This window comes from Homo sapiens, chromosome 4 (genome assembly GCF_000001405.40).
Source record: "Homo sapiens chromosome 4, GRCh38.p14 Primary Assembly".
In the NCBI taxonomy this organism is placed as follows: Eukaryota; Metazoa; Chordata; class Mammalia; order Primates; family Hominidae; genus Homo; species Homo sapiens.
The window spans coordinates 67,736,445-67,756,290 of record NC_000004.12 but is presented as its reverse complement, the minus strand read 5'-3'; the positions used below and the strand labels follow the sequence as shown (position 1 = coordinate 67,756,290).

Genomic DNA, 19,846 nt, shown 5'->3' with positions numbered 1-19,846 from the left:
GAGGAAAAGGGAAGGAAGGGGAAGGGAAGGGGAAGGGAAGGGGAAGGGAAGGGAAGGGAAGGAAGGGGAAGGGAAGGAATGGGAGGAAAAGGGACAAATAATGAATGATATGCTCTAATCTTTTTCCCCTAGATATAGAAGACAAAGAGCAAAATATACTTCACTAAAATTGGATTTTTACATAAATGTTCTTTCCTTTGTTTTTTGGTTGCTGGTCCACTTACAAACACTTTTCATATTTGTATGTCTTTCCAATGGTTATCCTGTTTTGTTCATTTCAGGCATATGGCCCTGATCAGATTAACTGACATGATGTATATGCAAAGCCTTTTGAGTTCTTCAGAAAAATAAATTATCTTATTCAAGACTGATTGCTTATAAGGAACTTATTATAGCTAATATAGTAGGCACAATTTTTTTTTTGTAATTCTCCTAGATGAGTCAGAACTTAGTTTTGACGTAGGTAAAAATTTTATGGTCACAAATCTCAGGTGTGAGAAAATCTCTTTCCTTGATACTCTATATAAATAGAGGATATAAATATTTCAAGTCTGGAAGTAGTGAGAGAAGCTGGTAATTCTGGACATATAGTGACAGTCAAAAAGGAGCTCAGGTACAGGACTGGTCTAAGCTGCTCAAGATTCAGGAGACAGCCAGTACACAGAGAAGCTGAGGAGATACATAAGATATATCTAAAACATTTATCTAACCTTCTGTGGTAACAAGCTCCTTAAAGGGGCTGGATGATGTTGTGTTCACTTTTTATCACCAGCAAAGGCTAAGATAATGTATATAGTAAATATTTAGTAACTATTTATTAAATAAATAAATATTTAAGACAGAATAAACAAGTATAATAAATGAACCAATAAGAATGCACCATCTAAGTCAAAATAGCCACTTTTATCCTTAACATTGTACCTGCTTTGGCTGCTGCAGAAGCAAACTTGTTGGCATTAGACAAATCAAGCTGGTGATTTAATAAATTCCAATGTAAGTCTTACCAGTATTGATGAATAACTATCCAGCACTCACCATGAAAGTTAAAGAAACAACACAGAAAAAGTTCCTAAGTGGTCCCAATTTGAAATGATCAGATAACCTATAAAAGAACATATTCATATTATACTAACATAAACACATATAAATGCACTTACAGCAGTTACACAGTATTCTCTTCAATAACTAGTTTCCTTATGCATTAATGTGTAATAACAGCAACTACAATATTTAGATAATTATAAAAACCAAGGCAATAATTTAAAAACTGATTAACCGTTTTACTCTAACTTAAGCATGGATTGGATCAGTAAGATTGATTAATAAATTTGAATGCAGTCAGTTGGATTGATTCTAATTTAAAGTTTTAATTTGTTGTAGAATAATTTTAAGTGAATATATTTGTCCAGTGTTCGAGTGCTCAACAGTGTGTTTGAAAAGGAAAACAAAGAAATGTTTTTGAGAAATGTGTTAATTCCTTAAGACAATGGATTTTAATTGGATCTAGTTGTTTTCATTTTTCTTCATTATCATTATACATCTGTATGTTGGACAGAACACTAACACTAAATAGTTTTTAGAAAAATTTTTTAAAGTTATTTAAATCATAATATCATGACTGACTTTTAAATTCAAAATTAGGCTGTGACTATCCTTCTTCACTTAGGAAGAGTGTTGTGAAAGCCAGACCATCTGCTGAGGTGCTACAGTTACATGTGGCCCTCAGAATGCATTTGGCCTGCTCTGTTTTAGCACTCTGTTGGATTACCAATACACAAAACAAGTTAACCTTGATCTTTCACATTAAGTATCTCAGGGACAAAATTTGACATACGTCTAAACCTGTGACGTTTCCATCTAAAGAAGGCAGAAATAAAACAGGACTTTAGATTCGGTTACAATAAAATATCAGATGCACCAGAGACACAAGGCTTGAAGCTCTGTCCTGGGAAAATATGGCAAACAGTGCCTCTCCTGAACAGAATCAAAATCACTGTTCAGCCATCAACAACAGCATCCCACTGATGCAGGGCAACCTCCCCACTCTGACCTTGTCTGGAAAGATCCGAGTGACGGTTACTTTCTTCCTTTTTCTGCTCTCTGCGACCTTTAATGCTTCTTTCTTGTTGAAACTTCAGAAGTGGACACAGAAGAAAGAGAAAGGGAAAAAGCTCTCAAGAATGAAGCTGCTCTTAAAACATCTGACCTTAGCCAACCTGTTGGAGACTCTGATTGTCATGCCACTGGATGGGATGTGGAACATTACAGTCCAATGGTATGCTGGAGAGTTACTCTGCAAAGTTCTCAGTTATCTAAAGCTTTTCTCCATGTATGCCCCAGCCTTCATGATGGTGGTGATCAGCCTGGACCGCTCCCTGGCTATCACGAGGCCCCTAGCTTTGAAAAGCAACAGCAAAGTCGGACAGTCCATGGTTGGCCTGGCCTGGATCCTCAGTAGTGTCTTTGCAGGACCACAGGTAAGCCATTATACACAAACTTATTTGGATATGGTGATCATAGATTTCCTATCTAAATTTGATATAAGGTCTTATCAAAGGAAGTACTGTATTACCTTTAAGAGCTTGGGTTCTGGAAGTCAGAGAGTGAAGTTTAATTCTGGCTCTGTTCTGTTACCTTGGGCAAACTTCTTAACCTCTCTGGTTTCAGTTCCTTTACCGATAAAATGTAACATGGGGGTTAATGCTTACTTAATACTGCTTTTGTGATGAATAAATAAATAAAGTAGCTCACATAATCTCTATTATGTAGCAAATGCTTCCCCAAAAAAAATGCGATTCTCAAACTTGACCTTATCTCCATCCTATTCTTTTATCTGTTTTTCTTTTTGTTTTGGTTGACATGGCTTTAATGTTTAGTTGAGATAATTTTTAGGAATTATGAAATTTGCCTAGGTAGAAAATATTTATAATGTTTCTTATTTAGGGTTTCTTCAGTGGAAATTTTAAGAATTCTGTCACTGCAGCTTAGAGAGAATTATTCTTTGTTAGTATGTTGCTCTGCAGTTTGCAGCTAAGTGGGACTGAATATAGAAGAAAAGTAAGACATCTTGGATGTTTGGAAATCCAAATATTTCCCTAAAGTTAGCTTGAGTTTTGCTGGAGGCAGCTTATTGAGAAAGCCATATGACTGACAGAGTAGGCACAGGCCCTCCCCACAGAGGGCAATTATCTTTCCAGGTTGCCTTCACCAGAAGCAGCCTAGTTAACTGACCTGCTGAACCTGCCATTTTAACAATCAGATCCCCGAAGAAAAGGACAAATTCTTGAAAATAACAAAGAATGTTAATAGCAGATGAACAAGTTTTCTCTTGCATTTAAATGTACTACATGATAAACCCAGGATACAAGGATGTGTCAAGAAATAAATCAGAATTAACTAGGATCCTCCAAAACTTGCCTCTGAAAATGGAAATTTATCTAGACTTTTTTTTACTGACCAGATGGTTAAAAAACAACAACAACAAAAAAAAACTGCCATGCAGAACTCACTATATAGCACAAGACACTAGAAAGCTGGATAACTGTTTTATCCCATCAATTTCTCACTTTAATATTTCTTTTGAATATGTGTGTGTTTCATAATAAGAATAATGGGAAAAACTAAAATGTTTTCATTTTCTGAAGAAAAATATATGATTTATTTCACAGTGATGCAATACATAAGAATAAGTTTAGCAAATATATCACCTGAAATGAGGTGATTTAGCTAAGGCTTATGCTCTTAAAATTTTCCACATTCTTTCTTTCCACTTTTGCACCTATGGTCCAAGTTACCTGGGAGGTTGGGAGGGAGGTTGTGGTGGGAGGATCACTTGAGCCCAGGAGTTCGAGACCAGACTGGGCAATATAGGGAGGCCCCATATCAACAAATTATTAAAAAAAAAATTGCTTAAATGCTGGTCATGATGACCCGCACCTGTGGTCCCAGCTACTTGGGAGGCTGAGGTGGGAGAATCGCTTGAGCCTGGGAGGCAGAGGTTGCAGAGAGCCATGATGCATCACTGCAACTGCACTGCAATCTCGGTGACAGAATGAGAACCTGTCTCAAAAAAGAAAAAAAAAAGGCTTTGGGAAAATTTATGTAGGCCCAAATGGCCCAAATGGAGTGGAATAAAACAAAGACTTTTTTAAAAATCATCTGGCAATGAGGTGATCAGGGGGCTAGGGTGGTATCAAAGAGAATAGATAGTAAAAGAGACATTTCAAATAAAATACAAAACCTGACAACAAATTGGATTGAGAGAGTTAATAATAGAGCAGGGGGAAATAAAGTTCCAATTTTTTTAGCCTAGGAATTAAAATAGTAAAACCATTGAAATGATCCGGTGGGAAGGGGAGTGTTTGTTTGTCTGCCTGTTTGTTTGTAGAAGGGAGAGGGAAGGCAGGCTATGAGAAGTAAAATCATTTGCTTTAGGACATGACTGTTGGCAATATAAGATCTGTGTAATTACAACTATGTGTAAAGTAGTTGGTAATTTGAGGTGCTGATGTAGATTAAAATCCAAACCAAAGTAGAAATAATCCTATCTGCAATAATAACTGAAGGGCAAACTCACGATTTGATTCTTCTTAGAAGAAGTCTCCTAGAAGCTATAAATAAAATATTGCTTTATCAATCCAATTATTTTCATCTAAGTATTAACAGCAATAATAGAAAGATAATGCCAAATATTTATCTAACTTGATGTAGCAAAAAGAAAATAGGAACTTAACTTTGAATTGTTTAGGAATTTCATGTAATAGTCTGACCTCAAATACATTACTAGAGAGATTTATGTGAATGTGAGCCACAGAAAATGGTGTTATTTTATTTTGTAAAACACATGACTCATCCTTACTTTCAACAACACTTTAAAGCACTTTGCTGAAGTTTCCTGAATAACCTCACATAAGTAATGCTGATATTTACGTTAACTCTATAAGGTAAATAGGAGCTGTGTTATTATCCCTATTTCATATATAAGAGAGCTAAGGTCTAAACCTATGAAGACAATGGCATTCAAATCCTTTTGCAATAATCCAAAGTAAGAAATACACACTACACTGAAACCTTGTTTGTGTCTCTGTCTCTTTCTCTCACACATATAACTGAGAAAAAATTTTGATGAAATAAATATTCTATTCTGTTACATTTTATTTTTTACTGTTGATTACAACTCATTGCTGAGCATATCCTGCAGTTCAAAAAGCACTGATTTAAAAGGATTCATTAGCATTCCCAGTGTCACGTGCTCTGTTGGACTCGTGTTGTCTTATTCTTTCCTTTTATTATGGCTCTCTTCAATTTCTCTGAATAAAAGAAATTTCAATCCCATAACTAATGTTACATATATTTGATGAGGAACATGAGAGAGAAAGAGGGCTTTTTATTTCTAGACTGTGATGCATGATGAGTGTGTCTCATGCTTCACCATGCTCTGTGGTCAATTATAAAAAATGTAATTGACAAAGGCACGTCCTATTGTGCCTAATTTACATTAAAAGGGTAACTTTAATTTTCATCCTTTGGTGCACATACCGATTTTCTATTATTTGAGTAATTCATACCTCAGTTGAAAAAAAAACACTTAACAAACATGTTTTCACCACTCAGGGCTGGGGATCTGGGAATTTATGACATTTTGCCTCAGCTCAGAATGACCAAATTTCAAATTGGCCTCCTAGATTTTCCACTTTCCTCATTATTAACCTCAGAAGCTATGTTCTGTGATAATTCGGCAGTGCATTCTCAGAAGTTTTAGCATAGTGTGGCATAGAAACTTTCAAACTTTATGCTAGTAATAGAATTCTTTTTAAAAAATTCTATATCACAATGTACCCCATAAATATGTACAATTATTATGTGTCTGTTAAAAATTTTTAAATAAAATACAGTACAAAAAATCCTGTACAAAAAGCCATAATGAATGAAACAGATATAAGTGGAGCTGCTCTGGTTAAAATAGAGGGAAAGGAGGACCAGTCCTCCACTTGGTTATTCACTAGCTCTCAGTCACAGTTACTAAAGACTTCCTATCTCCTTGCAGCAAAGTTCAAAAGCCAATGGGATAGTAAAAGTGGCATGAGTGTGAGATTCAAATGGAGTTGGGCTCAAATCTCAGTAATACTGCCTACCAGCTATGTGACTCTGAGCAAATTACTTACATTTAAAAGAGTAATTGTAAAGAATAAGTCATACAATTTATAAAATCATCTAAGACTTTACACCTTAATTTTAAATACTAATTTAATATTTATTTTTCTTCTTTTCCTTTCTTCCTAAGACCATCCTTTCTTCTTACCTTCATAAAAGAGGTTTTGAAGTCAGGAAAGAAAAAGTACAGAAATATGAGTATGGAATTGTTGGTTCTTTAAGAAACAGCAAAAAGAAATGCTTATATAAAAGTGGATTATTTCAAATTTTTCAAAATTATAGCATGCATTCTGACTGATTAGTAAACTACTCCCTGGTCACAAAGCTATCATACTCACTCTGCTAATTATACATGTCAGAGCACAGTAATTCAAGTCTTGGAGGTATCGTATATAAAAGTGGGGAAAGACGGAAGGAAGGAAGGAAGGAAAGAAGGAAGGAACGAAGGAAAGGAGGCAGGGAGGGAGGGAAAGGAGGGAAGGGGAGGAAAAAGGAGGAAAGGTAGAAAAGAAAAACGAAGGAGGGAAGGAGGAAAAGAAAAAGCAGCAAACACCCTGGGATAGCTTTGGTTTAAGACCATCTGTGGTTAGGGTGGTAAATATAAATTGAAGAGAAGACATTTCCTAAATTAGATGTGCCCGTATCTAATTTAAAATCACATGGTTTCTAATAAGAGTCATTTAATACCACAAGAATTCCAGAGTAGCAGGTTATTTGCAGAAAGAGTTCATAGCTTATCTGTGTTAAGCTTATCACTAGTTTATCTGTACTAATACAGAGTATTACATATTGACAGCTTTTAAATTCTATGGTTAACCCAGGCCTGCCGGCAAGAAATGTGGGCCACTCCTTAGTCCTTAGTGTAAAGATATGTTGTCTGAAGATGTGTGGAGGCTTGCCTTAACACACAGAGAATTTACTGGTGTAGAATGCACTACTGACATTGGCCAACGGTTTAAATTCAATAAATATTATCACACAGGTACAATATGCCTAACATTGTGCTACAACATAGTACTGTGCTACTAGCAGAAATAACAATAGCAATAATGTTGATGATGATAAATAATGCTTGAAGACATAAATATGTGCCAGGAATTTGGCTAAAAGCTTTTACATGCTAGGTTCACAGAACAGGCAGTGAATAAATATTAAATAAATAAGCTTTTACATGCAATATTTCATATAATGCTTCCAACAATCACATAAATTATGCACAATCATTATCTTTATTTTACACATGAAGAAACTAAACCTCCAATATTATATAACATGCCCAAAATTACTGTTTACTAAGTGGAAATCTCAGTATATCAGTATATTTAGTTATCTATATATGGCCATATCCATAGCCAGCTCTTTTTTTTTTAACAGTCAGAGGCTTCCCATTTATTTATTTATTTATTTATTTTATTATTATTATTATACTTTAAGTTTTAGGGTACACGTGCACAACGTGCAGGTTTGTTACATATGTATACATGTGCCATGCGAGTTAATGGGTGCAGCCAGCTCTTTTAACTACTACACTCTACCCAACTCTGCCCAGTGAACACTGCAATATTGTCTATTTCCTTTTTACCTGTAGGAGGCTGGGGAAGAAAAAGGCAGAAAAAGCTTGAAGTGAAAACTGATGCTTAAAACACATCAAGAAAAAAATATATATGATACACATTTATAAACATATAAACGCATATGGATACATATAAAAATTGTGTGCCTCAAGTTTTAATTATAATAATGGTAAAGATTTATAAAGTGCTGTGTTCCAGGCACTATTCCAGGTGCTTTGCATGTATTAACTCATTTATTGTCATGATAGGCCTTAGAGGTAGATATTACTATTTTCTCCATGTATGTAGATGAGGAAACTGAAGCACACATCTGAAGATAATTACCTGTGGACAACACTAGGTAAGGGTGTAATTAGTGTGGGTAAGGTGAGTGTTAAAGATAATATTCTAAGAAGAAATGAACAACTGCAATTGACTGTGAAAAACAAAAACAGAATGTTCTTGTTTATGGCAAAATAAAGCAAACACTGATAAGAACCAGGGCCAGGGGCAAGAGAGGAGAAATATACCAAAATTAAAGAAATATAATCCAAGGACAAATGAACAACTAAAAGCAAAGTGGATCTCTACATAAATCATTCAAATGAACATGGCCTTGGAGCACAAAATAAACGGAACTAAGACAATAGCAAGTTAATTTATGGGCAAGTAAGATTCTGAATTTGTGTACACTTTATTATACCTTTCTTAAAATTTATTGGTCTATCTTGTATTACCTGGGTCACATACATTTTAAATCTGCACTACCAAATATTAAATTCCCTGATTGAAGGATATAACTGCTTTATCTTTTATGACAGAGAATGCCAGCTATAGTTTATTTTACCAAAGAGTTGCTTAAAAAATAAGCATGTGTTAAATAAGATAGCCATTAACTCAATCATAGTACTATGTTTCAAAGTCATTGCTAATTGAAAGTTTCATCATTATGGCTTTTTTAAACATATTTTATTTTTTTAATTATAAATTTTTTCCAGTTACAAATGAACCAATTTGAACCACGCACTACCCATCTTTTTAGAATCTTATAGTAGAACTCACCAAGTTGGTGTGAAAACAGAAAGGCCAAGTAATGCCTGAGAGGCCTGAGTAAGAAATACAGACAAACGTAGAAAAAAAACACACTGCTTTTCAAATGTTTTCATCTCTCCTCAAAACTGGCATGCAATAACATTAGACTTGTCACAAGAACTCCTATCAAACTCCACTCATTGGGCCAGAGACCTTTGTGGTGTTAGCAAAAAACTCACCCCTCATGTAGCATACTACCTACGCTTGGGATTTCATCAGCCAGTCAGTGACATCATTATGCCTTTAAAACATGAAATATTAAGACGAAAATGTGGCCCAGGGCAGAGCAGAAAGTAAAACTCAGGTCATATGGTTCCAAGTCCAGCTGGGATGGTGCAGAGGGAAGTAGCTAAAACCTTAAAGAAATATAAGATTCTCAGGTTCTACGTGAAGTAAGCCTTCCAAAGACTTTAACTCACAGCCTCTGTTGGATCTAATTCAAAGCTGAACTTTAAATAAGGTCAGGTTGCAAAGAATTACAGAAAACTAAAAGTCTCACTTTGTAATGTGGGAAAAAAGTCTGAATCATAAGATAAAATTAGCTGAATGCACTTGTTGGGGTTTCTTGACTGGAGTGATAGTAAAATTATTAGACGCCCTCTAGTGGATGAATTTAAAATCATTTTTTCCCCTTGAAAATGAAAAAAGCTCTGAAACTGAAAATCAACTTTTTAACTTATTTAACAGGGCCAAGGTTTCTTTCCCTTTTGAGGTGATGGGAGTGGGAGTGGAGTATGCCTTTTAAAAAAAAATGAAGTATTTTTAAAATATTTAATAGTGTTTTTTGTTGGTAGGGTAGAAAAGAATCATGTTTCTTAATATTGTAATTAAAATTTTCTAATTCAATCAAAAACTTTAAAAAAATGGAATCCCTCATTTGCTTAAAATAAAAAATATTGTAACACTTTTGTTTGAATTTACTTGCTATCAATTTAAAAATGCTTAAACTCTCATCATTTCATTTTAATAATGTTTCACAGTAAAATGAAACTTCTCAGGGGAAAAGCTTATAAATAAGTAGGTAAGAAGTGTTTAATGAATAGAGGAATAATGAATAAATGTCCACTAGAATTTATTTTTGAAAATTACTTGCAACATTTTCTTAATTGTTGATTCAGTTTGTGTTTTTAAAAGTTGTAGGATAAAGGCTTTTTAAAAATAATTTGACACTCAGAGAATGGTTACAAGAATCATACATATTTCTGGATACCTTCACCCAGATTTTCTCAAATATTAATATTTTACATTTGCTTATTTATTTTATCTTATCTACTTTTTCCCAATTGCTTAAAAGTAAGCTGTAGACATGATTTTTCTTTACCCCTCAATACTTCAATGTGTGTTTAAGGCCTCTCACACACAGCCACAGTAATGATTGTCAAAATAAGAAATTTAACATTGATACAATACCACTATTTAATTTATATGTTCTATTCAGAGCTCATAAGTTATCCCGGTTTAATTTTTGCCCTTTTAACAAAAGAAAATCCAAGATTATGTGGTGGATTCAGTTGCATACCTCTTTAGTATTCTTTTAGCTGGAACCATTTCTCAGTCTTTCTTTGTGTTTCATGATATTGACATTTTTGGAGAGTGCAGACCAGTCATTTTGTAAAATGTCTCTCAGTTGGGATTTGTCCTCTCAAGGTTAGATTCAGGTTATACACTTTAAGCAAAAATACCAAATTAGTGATGCTAAGTTCTCAATGCATTACATAAGGAGACAGACATTGTCAATAGGTCCTATTATTGGCAATGTTAACATACTTATCTAGCTATTTCTCTTCTGTAAAGTTATTATTGTATTCCTTACAATGAATAAGTAACCTGCAGACTGATACTTTGAGATTTTGTAAACATCCTGTTCTCCTCAAACTTCCACCCACTATTTTTACCAGCTATTGATGATTCTTGCTGTAATCACTTATTATAGTGATTAACATTTGGTAATCACTAATTCCGTTTATTCCTTTTCATTTATTAGTTGGCATTCTACATTATGGAAGAGGTTTTTCTCCCCCCATTTATTTGTTGTTTTTGTTATCTTGTAATTTTTATAAGTATGGGCTCATACTTTATTCAATAGTTTCTCATTCTTTTAGATCAGTTTCTTTTTTGTATTTTAATGCTTAAACTGCCCCAGATTTGGCCAGTGGAAGCTCTTTTCAGCTGGTTCCTGGGTTGTTTTGTTTGTTTTTTTTTGTTTTGTTTTGACATATTCCATCATTCTTTGAGCAACTGTCTCTTCATGTCTTTTGACCATTTTTTAAAATGTCATTTTAATAGGGCTTCTGTCTCTAAAATAAAATTTAAATATGTATTTTGGGGGGTACATTTTAAGTGCCAGACACAGTTGTAGTTACTGCAGATATAACTTATGAGCAAAATCACTTGCAAAAAGTTTACTCAGCATAATTGTACTGGAAACTGAAATACAAACAACGTTTAAATCCTTGAGGGATGATTATTCTTCAAGGTTGAAATAATTTCTAAAAAATCCAAAATCTTACAGATCTATTGACACTTACCCAAACATATTTTAAGTAAATATTCACATGACTTTTCATAGAAACGTCAGAAGTATAACACTAAGGAGCTTAGAAATTGCTTTAGGTAACATGTTAGAAGGCTAGCAGAGTACCAAAGAGAAAACTTTCAAATACCATATGGAAAAAAGTAACATAGCTTTTTATTGTCTCATACAGTTATACATCTTCAGGATGATTCATCTAGCAGACAGCTCTGGACAGACAAAAGTTTTCTCTCAATGTGTAACACACTGCAGTTTTTCACAATGGTGGCATCAAGCATTTTATAACTTTTTCACCTTCAGCTGCCTCTTCATCATCCCTCTTTTCATCATGCTGATCTGCAATGCAAAAATCATCTTCACCCTGACACGGGTCCTTCATCAGGACCCCCACGGTATGTATTCCTTAGAGTTAGTGTCATTTGTGGGCAGTTTTTAAATAGCAATGCTCAAAACAGAGTGGCATGAACTATGTGACAGATACTGTTCTAAGCAGTTTGCATATATTAGCTCATTTAATATTCACAATCACCCCATAAGGTAATATTTTTATTATGGTTTTATCATAATCAATTTACAGATAAGGTTACTTAATATCTTCTGCTGTTCTACATTTGCACCATGAAATTAAATAAGAAAGAATGATTATTCCATTAAAACCCAGGATAAGAATTGGCAAATGGTTTCTGCTGGGCAGCAAGTACAAATTGTGATATCTAGACTATAGCAAAGTACAACTTGTTAAATGCTATCCAATAAATTAGCTAAAGTAAGCTGTTTCATTTTATATTCAAATCCCATATATTTACACGACATAAACTATGCACATTTGTGTGTATGTTAATATGCGAAATATTGACTATGTAAATGATTATTTCATTCAAAACTTCACACATGTGTTTGTACCTTTTTTGCTTTAGTAAAATGGTGCATTCCCAAAAACTAAAATTTATAAATTCATGAAATAAACATTGTTATGTTGGCATGACATCCAAAAGACGTGTTATCAATGACATAGTGCATAAGTTATATCTGGTACAACTTATCAGGGAAATCATCTTAATTATTATAGCATGAATAGTCTCAGTAGATATTTTCAAAAGAAAATATTCATGGTGATGCTCTCTAATAGGGAATTGGGCAGTTTCCACCTGCCAGCACAAAATGGTATTTAATATTTCCAAAAAAGTATACTGCAAGAACAATTTGCCTTCAAAATCTTATCTCGAGAGATTCCATTTTATAAGCGATATCTAAGAAGGGTAGAGGGAAAATAAGAAGGTGGATCTCAAATAGGAGTTAATCTGAAGAAATATGAGCAGTACATAAGCAGAAAAACAAAAAAGCAGAGGCAGGAAGCAATAAATATTATGAACACATTTATTTATTTATTATTTTATTTATTTGATTAATACATACTGACTACTCAATGTTGCTGGAAACTGTGCTAGGTGGGGATACCATGGTGAATAAGAAAAACCTAGTAAGTATCCTGCTTTCATGGAGACTACAGTCTAGCAGAAAAGTCATAAACAGTAAACCAATTATCAACTGTGATGATGTTTCAAAAGAAGAAAAAGCATGACATGTTGTGGTTGCCTTGATATTTTTTCATTTTCAGTCATGTGCTAAGCCAAGATGGTTTTTTGAATTTTAAATGGATGTGTCACCAAAGTTTACAGATATTGAGGATTAAACGATAGTGTGTGAAGGCCAGGTGCGGTGGCTCATGCCTGTGATCCCAGCACTTTGGGAGGCCGAAGCAGGTGGACCACCTGCAGTCAGGAGTTCGAGGCCAGCCTGACCAAGACGATGAAACCTGTCTCTACCAAAAATACAAAAATTAGCCGGGTGTGGTGGCACATGCCTGTAGTCCCAGCTACTCAGGAGGCTGAGGCAAGAGAATCACTTGAACCCAGGAGGCAAAGGCTGCAGTGAGCCAAGATTGTACCATTGCACTCCAGCCTGGGCAGCAAGAGCGAAACTCAGGAAAAAAAAAAAGAATAGTATGTGAAAAGAGCAAGGCCTCAAGGCACAGAGTAAACAGTAATTGGTTTTGTCTGCTAAAAATCCATAATCAGTCTGTATTTAATAAATTACTTTAATATTTCTAGATAAAAATTAATTTTATAATTAAAACACCATGCATGTAAATGTTCTCCTCTATATGTCCACCCTTTGGTGACCAATTAATAAGAAATTTCAGAATGACTATTTCTGAATAGCACTATCTGTTTCCCTCAAAAAAAATATAGTGTGTGAAGAGTATTTCTTACTTGACACAGAAGTTCTCGATTATGAAATACAAGAACAGATTTTGAGCACTTCAAAATTGCACCTTTTTACCTTTAAGAACTAAGTCCAAAATTTCAGGTAGGCAGCCTGACTGTAAAAAGTCAGCAATTCCATTAATTTCCAGCAAATTTCTTCACAAGTGTAACCTATGAACTTTAATGGCTGTATTAATATGAAAAGTGAAATTATTTCAGATATCATAGAAAGAAGCACACAGTTGAGATAGATAATTTGGGGTAGTACACTTTCATCCACATATGATACTTACTATCCTTAGTGGCAGAGATACTCAGTGAACATAATTTTGTTTTGAAGTCAGAATTCACAAAGCAAACAAAAACATACAGTGGGGAAAGGACATCCTATTCAACAAATGGTGCTGGGATAATTGGCTAGCCATGTGTAGAAGAATGAAACTGGATCCTCATCTCTCATCCTACACAAAAATCAACTCAAGATGGATCAAAGACTGAAATCTAAGACCTGAAACCATAAAGATTCTAGAAGATAACATTGGAAAAACCCTTTAAGACACTGGCTTAGGCAAAGACTTCCTGACCAAGAGCCCAAAACCAAATGCAACAAAAACAAAGATAAATAGATGGGACTTCATTAAACTAAAAAGCTTCTGCACAGCAAAAGAAATAATCAGCAGAGTTAACAGACGGCCCACAGAGTGGGAGAAAATCTTCACAATCTGTCCATCTGACAAAGGACTAATACCCAGAATCTACAAAGAACTCAAACAAATCAGCAAGAAGAAAACAAACAATCCCATCGAAAAGTGGGCTAAGGACATGAATAGACAATTCTCAAAAGAAGATATACAAATGGCCAAGAAGCATAGGGGAAAATGCTCAACATCACTAATGATCAGGGAAATGCAAATCAAAACCACAATGTGATACCACCTCACTCCTGCAAGAATGGCCATAATCAAAAAATCAAAAAATAATAGATGTTGGCAGGGATGCAGTGAAAAGGGAACACTTTTACACTGTTGGTGGGAATGTTAACTAGTACAACCACCATGGAAAACAGTGTGGAGATTCCTTAAAGAACTAAAAGTAGAACCATCGTTTGATCCAGCAATCCCACTACTAGGTATCTACCCAGGAGGGAAAAAAGGCATTATATGAAAAAGATACTTGCACAGGAATGTTCATAGCAGCACAGTTTGCAATTGCAAAAACACAGAACCAGCCCAAATGCCCATCAATCAATGAGTGAATAAAAAAATGTGGTATATATGTACTATAGAATACTGCTCAGCCATAAAAAAGGAACAAAATAATGGCATTTGCAGCAACCTGGATAGAATTGGAGACTATTATTCTAAGTGAAGTAACTCAGGAATAGAAAACCAAACATCATATGTTCTCATTCATATGTGGGAGCTAAGCTATGATGATGCAAAGGCATAACAATGATACACTGGACTTTGGAAACTCAGGGGAAAGGGTTGGGGGTGGCAAGGGATAAAAGACTACACATTTGGTACAGCGTACACTGCTCAGGTGATGGGTCCACCGAGATCTCAGAACTCACCACCAAAGAACTTATTCATATAGCCAAACACCATCAGTCCCCAAAAAAACCTATTAAAATAAAAAAATAATTTTTTTAAGAAAGAATTCAACTGAGCTCAACCTCATCTACTCTTTTAAATTTATATGTTAAGAGTTTGAGTACCCCATATTTCAAATCCAGATTACTTTGGCAGAAATAAGAGCACTATCATCTTCAAACTTTTCTATTCATTATGTGACATAGTGGAAAACTCTTATTAAAACATGCTTTTCAAACAAATTATTATTATTTAAAATAATGGAAATTTTCTCCCATTGATTAAGTTGAATTAGTGATGCTGTCTTCCTTTTTGTCCACTTTGGTTTTGTAAGAAAACTGATCTTTAAACACCTGCTCTTTTCTCTATCCAACAGAACTACAACTGAATCAGTCCAAGAACAATATACCAAGAGCACGGCTGAAGACTCTAAAAATGACGGTTGCATTTGCCACTTCATTTACTGTCTGCTGGACTCCCTACTATGTCCTAGGAATTTGGTATTGGTTTGATCCTGAAATGTTAAACAGGTTGTCAGACCCAGTAAATCACTTCTTCTTTCTCTTTGCCTTTTTAAACCCATGCTTTGATCCACTTATCTATGGATATTTTTCTCTGTGATTGATAGACTACACAAGAAGTCATATGAAGAAGGGTAAGGTAATGAATCTCTCCATCTGGGAATGATTAACACAAATGTTGGAGCATGTTTACATACAAACAAAGTAGGATTTACACTTAAGTTATCATTCTTTTAGAAACTCAGTCTTCAGAGCCTCAATTATTAAGGAAAAGTCTTCAGGAAAAATACTAAAATATTTTCTCTTCCTCATAAGCTTCTAAATTAATCTCTGCCTTTTCTGACCTCATATAACACATTATGTAGGTTTCTTATCACTTTCTCTTTGCATAATAATGTACTAATATTTAAAATACCTTCAGCCTAAGGCACAAGGATGCCAAAAAAACAAAGGTGAGAAACCACAACACAGGTCTAAACTCAGCATGCTTTGGTGAGTTTTTCTCCAAAAGGGGCATATTAGCAATTAGAGTTGTATGCTATATAATACATAGAGCACAGAGCCCTTTGCCCATAATATCAACTTTCCCTCCTATAGTTAAAAAGAAAAAAAATGAATCTATTTTTCTCTTTGGCTTCAAAAGCATTCTGACATTTGGAGGAGTCAGTAACCAATCCCACCAACCACTCCAGCAACCTGACAAGACTATGAGTAGTTCTCCTTCATCCTATTTATGTGGTACAGGTTGTGAAGTATCTCTATATAAAGGGAAATTTTAGAGGGGTTAGGATTTGGACAGGGGTTTAGAACATTCCTCTAAGCTATCTAGTCTGTGGAGTTTGTGGCAATTAATTGCCATAAAATAACAATGTTTCCAAATGCAACTAAGAAAATACTCATAGTGAGTACGCTCTATGCATAGTATGACTTCTATTTTAATGTGAAGAATTTTTTGTCTCTCTCCTGATCTTACTAAATCCATATTTCATAAATAACTGAGAATAATTAAAACAAAATTAAGCAAATGCACAAGCAAAAAGATGCTTGATACACAAAAGGAACTCTGGAGAGAAAACTACAGCTTCAGTCTGTACAGATCAAAGAAGACAGAACATGTCAGGGGAAGGAGGGAAAGATCTTGATGCAGGGTTTCTTAACCTGCAGTCTATGCACAACACTATATTTCCATGTAATGTTTTTATTTCAGCCCTATTTGTATTATTTTGTGCATTTAAAAAACACAATCTTAAGGGGATAGACTAGACTGCCACAGCAGCCCATGGCACAACTAACACCTACTGATATTCACATTAAATAGTATGGTTTCCAAAATATGTCTGCACAACAAGACCTCTTTATGTAATTCAGGCTTGTGTCTACCTCTTCCATGAAAAATGGAAAGGGATGAAAATAATGGGAGTATAATACCCATTTAATGTGAAAAACATAAGAGTCTTAAAAGAAATTAAGCCATTTAACATTTTTTAAATAGGTAAGATACCATTATATTTATATGAGCTATGTACTGCCACAAAAAAAGATGAAATGTAATTTCTAAATACTCCAGGTGTGTGGTATTATGGAAAGCAAATTGCCAACTAATGGCACGTCCTTTCTTTCTTTGATTTTCTCCTCTCATACTTCAGTTTTATAGTGTTGTGTTGTTGTTTTTTTCATATCCTACCTTACTTTCCAATTCTGTCTCAATTGAACTCCCTCTGTCTACTCACTCTTTCATTCATAGCTTCTTTTCCATTAAACTCATACCTTTAATTAACCAATTCATGGCCCAGTTCTACAGTTGAATTGGACAAGGCTAAAATTCTGTAGTGTGCTAAAATGCTCAAGTTGGCACATAAACCCATTCCAAGATTTTATAGTTCTTGTAGATAACACAGGGATGTAGATAAGTTGAAACAAAACCAGTGTCCTCTAAGTCTCTATCATATACTTATTCCTAAACTGATAATTCTTACTTCTGGATTTAAAATCAAAAATAACACACTTGTACAGATACAATCTAAGGGCTTTATCACACACGTGTTAACGAATGTATCTCAGCTTGGTTCTTCTTGTGTGCTCATTATGGATCTCTCTGTCTTAGGAATTGCCTCAGGCATTTTTTTTTTTTACACATTAACTAAAGGGCTATTCGAAATCTTGACTCAGGGGTTCTTAACCTACATTTCATGCAAAAAATATATATATTTCAATGTATTTTTTATTTTAGTCCTATTTGTATTATTTTATGCATTTAAAAACACAGTCCTGAGAGGGATGGACCAGACTGCCACAGCAGCTCATAGCACAAAAAAAGGTTAAGAAGTCCTAGTTGACTTTGTATATATATAAAGAAATCTATTACAATAAAAATATAACATAATCTATTCATCTATTTATATGCAAACATAAAAATGTAAATATTGAAACAAGATTGCTTCAATATGCTTATTGTTTTCAAACCAACAAACTCTCTTAAGGTTCAATATGTAATAAAAAACATAACACAAATAATTATTCTATATGAATATTATGGTTCATAAATTATAATGTATAATCTATACATTATAATGTAATATATAAACTAAAATTTATGGCACAAAAGATAAATATGGCTTTGAAATTAAAGATATTCCACTCAACAGACAATATTTCATATTTGATATTACAATCATTTATTTTATGTCCTATTATAATAAAAGGTGAGGACTCCTTGTAAAAAAGGAAATGTTCCACAGAGTCAATCTAATATATCAGATATTGGAGATTCTATCTTGGTTTCTCTTCCTTTACTTAGCCTATAAAACTAGTTAAAAATGGAATTTCTTTTAGCAATTCAGTTTAGTACAGGAGTGACATTAACTAATGACAATAAATTAAACAAAGCCTACATTAGTTCAATTTAAGCCTATTCAACAGAAATATAGAAATATAGTAGCTAAAAAAATACTCTGGGGAAGGTACCACAAACATTATCTACCAGGGAACATAGCATAAATTAGTCTGAAATTTCCTGAGAGTGACTTTGTCTTAGAACTTAGGTGGTAGTCATGAAGAGATAATGTTTTTAGGCAGTTAAAATACTTCTAGAACTCCATCTATTTTACCTGTGGTCCACTTTCCTACATTGAACCAATGCCTTGGGCTTCTCTAATTACTATACATTGTGCTCATATGAATAAAAGAAATTTTAAAAGAAAAAAAATCAGATTCAATATAATCTTGCTTATCATTTTTATGATTATTAGGAATCAAGTTTAAAACAATTAGTCTAACTTTAAAAGTTATATAAAATGTATGCATAGCAGCAATAGATAAACATATATGAAAACTGTTAATATAGTTATCTGCATGATTTCTTAAAAATTTCTTCCTTGTGAATTCCTGTAATTCCAAATTCCCAAAATGAACTCATATTGCATGTGTATTAAGAGAAAACATAATAAATGTTATATGTGTGTGTGTTTGTCTGACTTTTATTTTATACATCATTGTTTCTATTAGAAGGTGTTCTGTTGTAAGGAATAAAAATGTCAAACTAGAAGTGGCATTTTTCCATCTCATGTTATAGGATGTGCAGAGGTAGACATGCAGAATCAGTTAAGTCAGAGCTTTGAGTCAGCTTCTCTGATTATACTAGGCTTTTTTTTTTTTTCCTGACTAGAAGTTGGCTGTCACCATTCTAGGGGTCAAAGGCAGAAAGAAAGGGTCACTTCTCATTATGGATCTCTCTTTCCCATAACTCTCAGTACTTCCCCTTAAATTGGCTAGAACTGGGACACATGACTGACCCTAAACAAATCACTAGCAAAGATTATCTCGAATACTTTAAAGGAATAATTTGTCTTGTGGGACAGTGTTCAGTTTCCCTGAACACTCAGCAATCTGATAACTAAAAAAAATTGAAGGCTTTTTTTATTTTTTATTTTTGGGGTGGGGAGGAGGAAGAGAGAAAAATAGACCTTTTGGGTCAGAAAACTGCAGTCCTTGCAATAATCACCAATTAACTTTTCAAAACAAAATTTAAACTACATATGCCACAAATTTAAGTAGCACATAATTTAAATACAATGCATAAAAACTAAATGAAGCCCTGAAGCACAATGATTGCACAATAAATGTAGCTCTAAGGGAA

The 19,846-nt window shown here is 34.1% G+C and overlaps 1 protein-coding gene and 1 non-coding gene across 3 annotated transcripts; one reads left to right on the top strand and one right to left on the bottom strand.

Annotated features, from left to right (window-relative positions):
* On the top strand, nt 1,903–19,173 carry GNRHR (gonadotropin releasing hormone receptor). Of its 2 annotated transcripts, none has more exons than NM_000406.3 (3): nt 1,903–2,477; nt 11,504–11,723; nt 15,567–19,173. In NM_000406.3, the coding sequence occupies exons 1-3, from the start codon at nt 1,956–1,958 to the stop codon at nt 15,809–15,811; spliced, it is 987 nt and encodes a 328-aa protein (NP_000397.1). In that variant the 5' UTR covers nt 1,903–1,955; the 3' UTR covers nt 15,812–19,173. The 2 variants fall into 2 exon arrangements, with proteins under 2 accessions (NP_000397.1, NP_001012781.1); NM_001012763.2 differs by having other exon boundaries at nt 11,632–11,723; nt 15,567–18,916.
* On the bottom strand, nt 8,905–9,055 carry LOC124900175 (small nucleolar RNA SNORA62/SNORA6 family). The gene has a single exon (XR_007058523.1). It is a non-coding gene; the product is annotated as a small nucleolar RNA SNORA62/SNORA6 family (small nucleolar RNA).

What these genes read in the sequence shown, in the direction of transcription:
- GNRHR (NM_000406.3), top strand. Translation starts at nt 1,956, where the DNA reads ATGGCAAACAGTGCCTCTCCTGAACAGAATCAAAATCACTGTTCAGCC. An exon ending in GTGTCTTTGCAGGACCACAG is followed by an intron (nt 2,478 to 11,503) that starts GTAAGCCATTAT and finishes TGTCTCATACAG; the next exon opens with TTATACATCTTCAGGATGAT. An exon ending in CCTTCATCAGGACCCCCACG is followed by an intron (nt 11,724 to 15,566) that starts GTATGTATTCCT and finishes TCTATCCAACAG; the next exon opens with AACTACAACTGAATCAGTCC.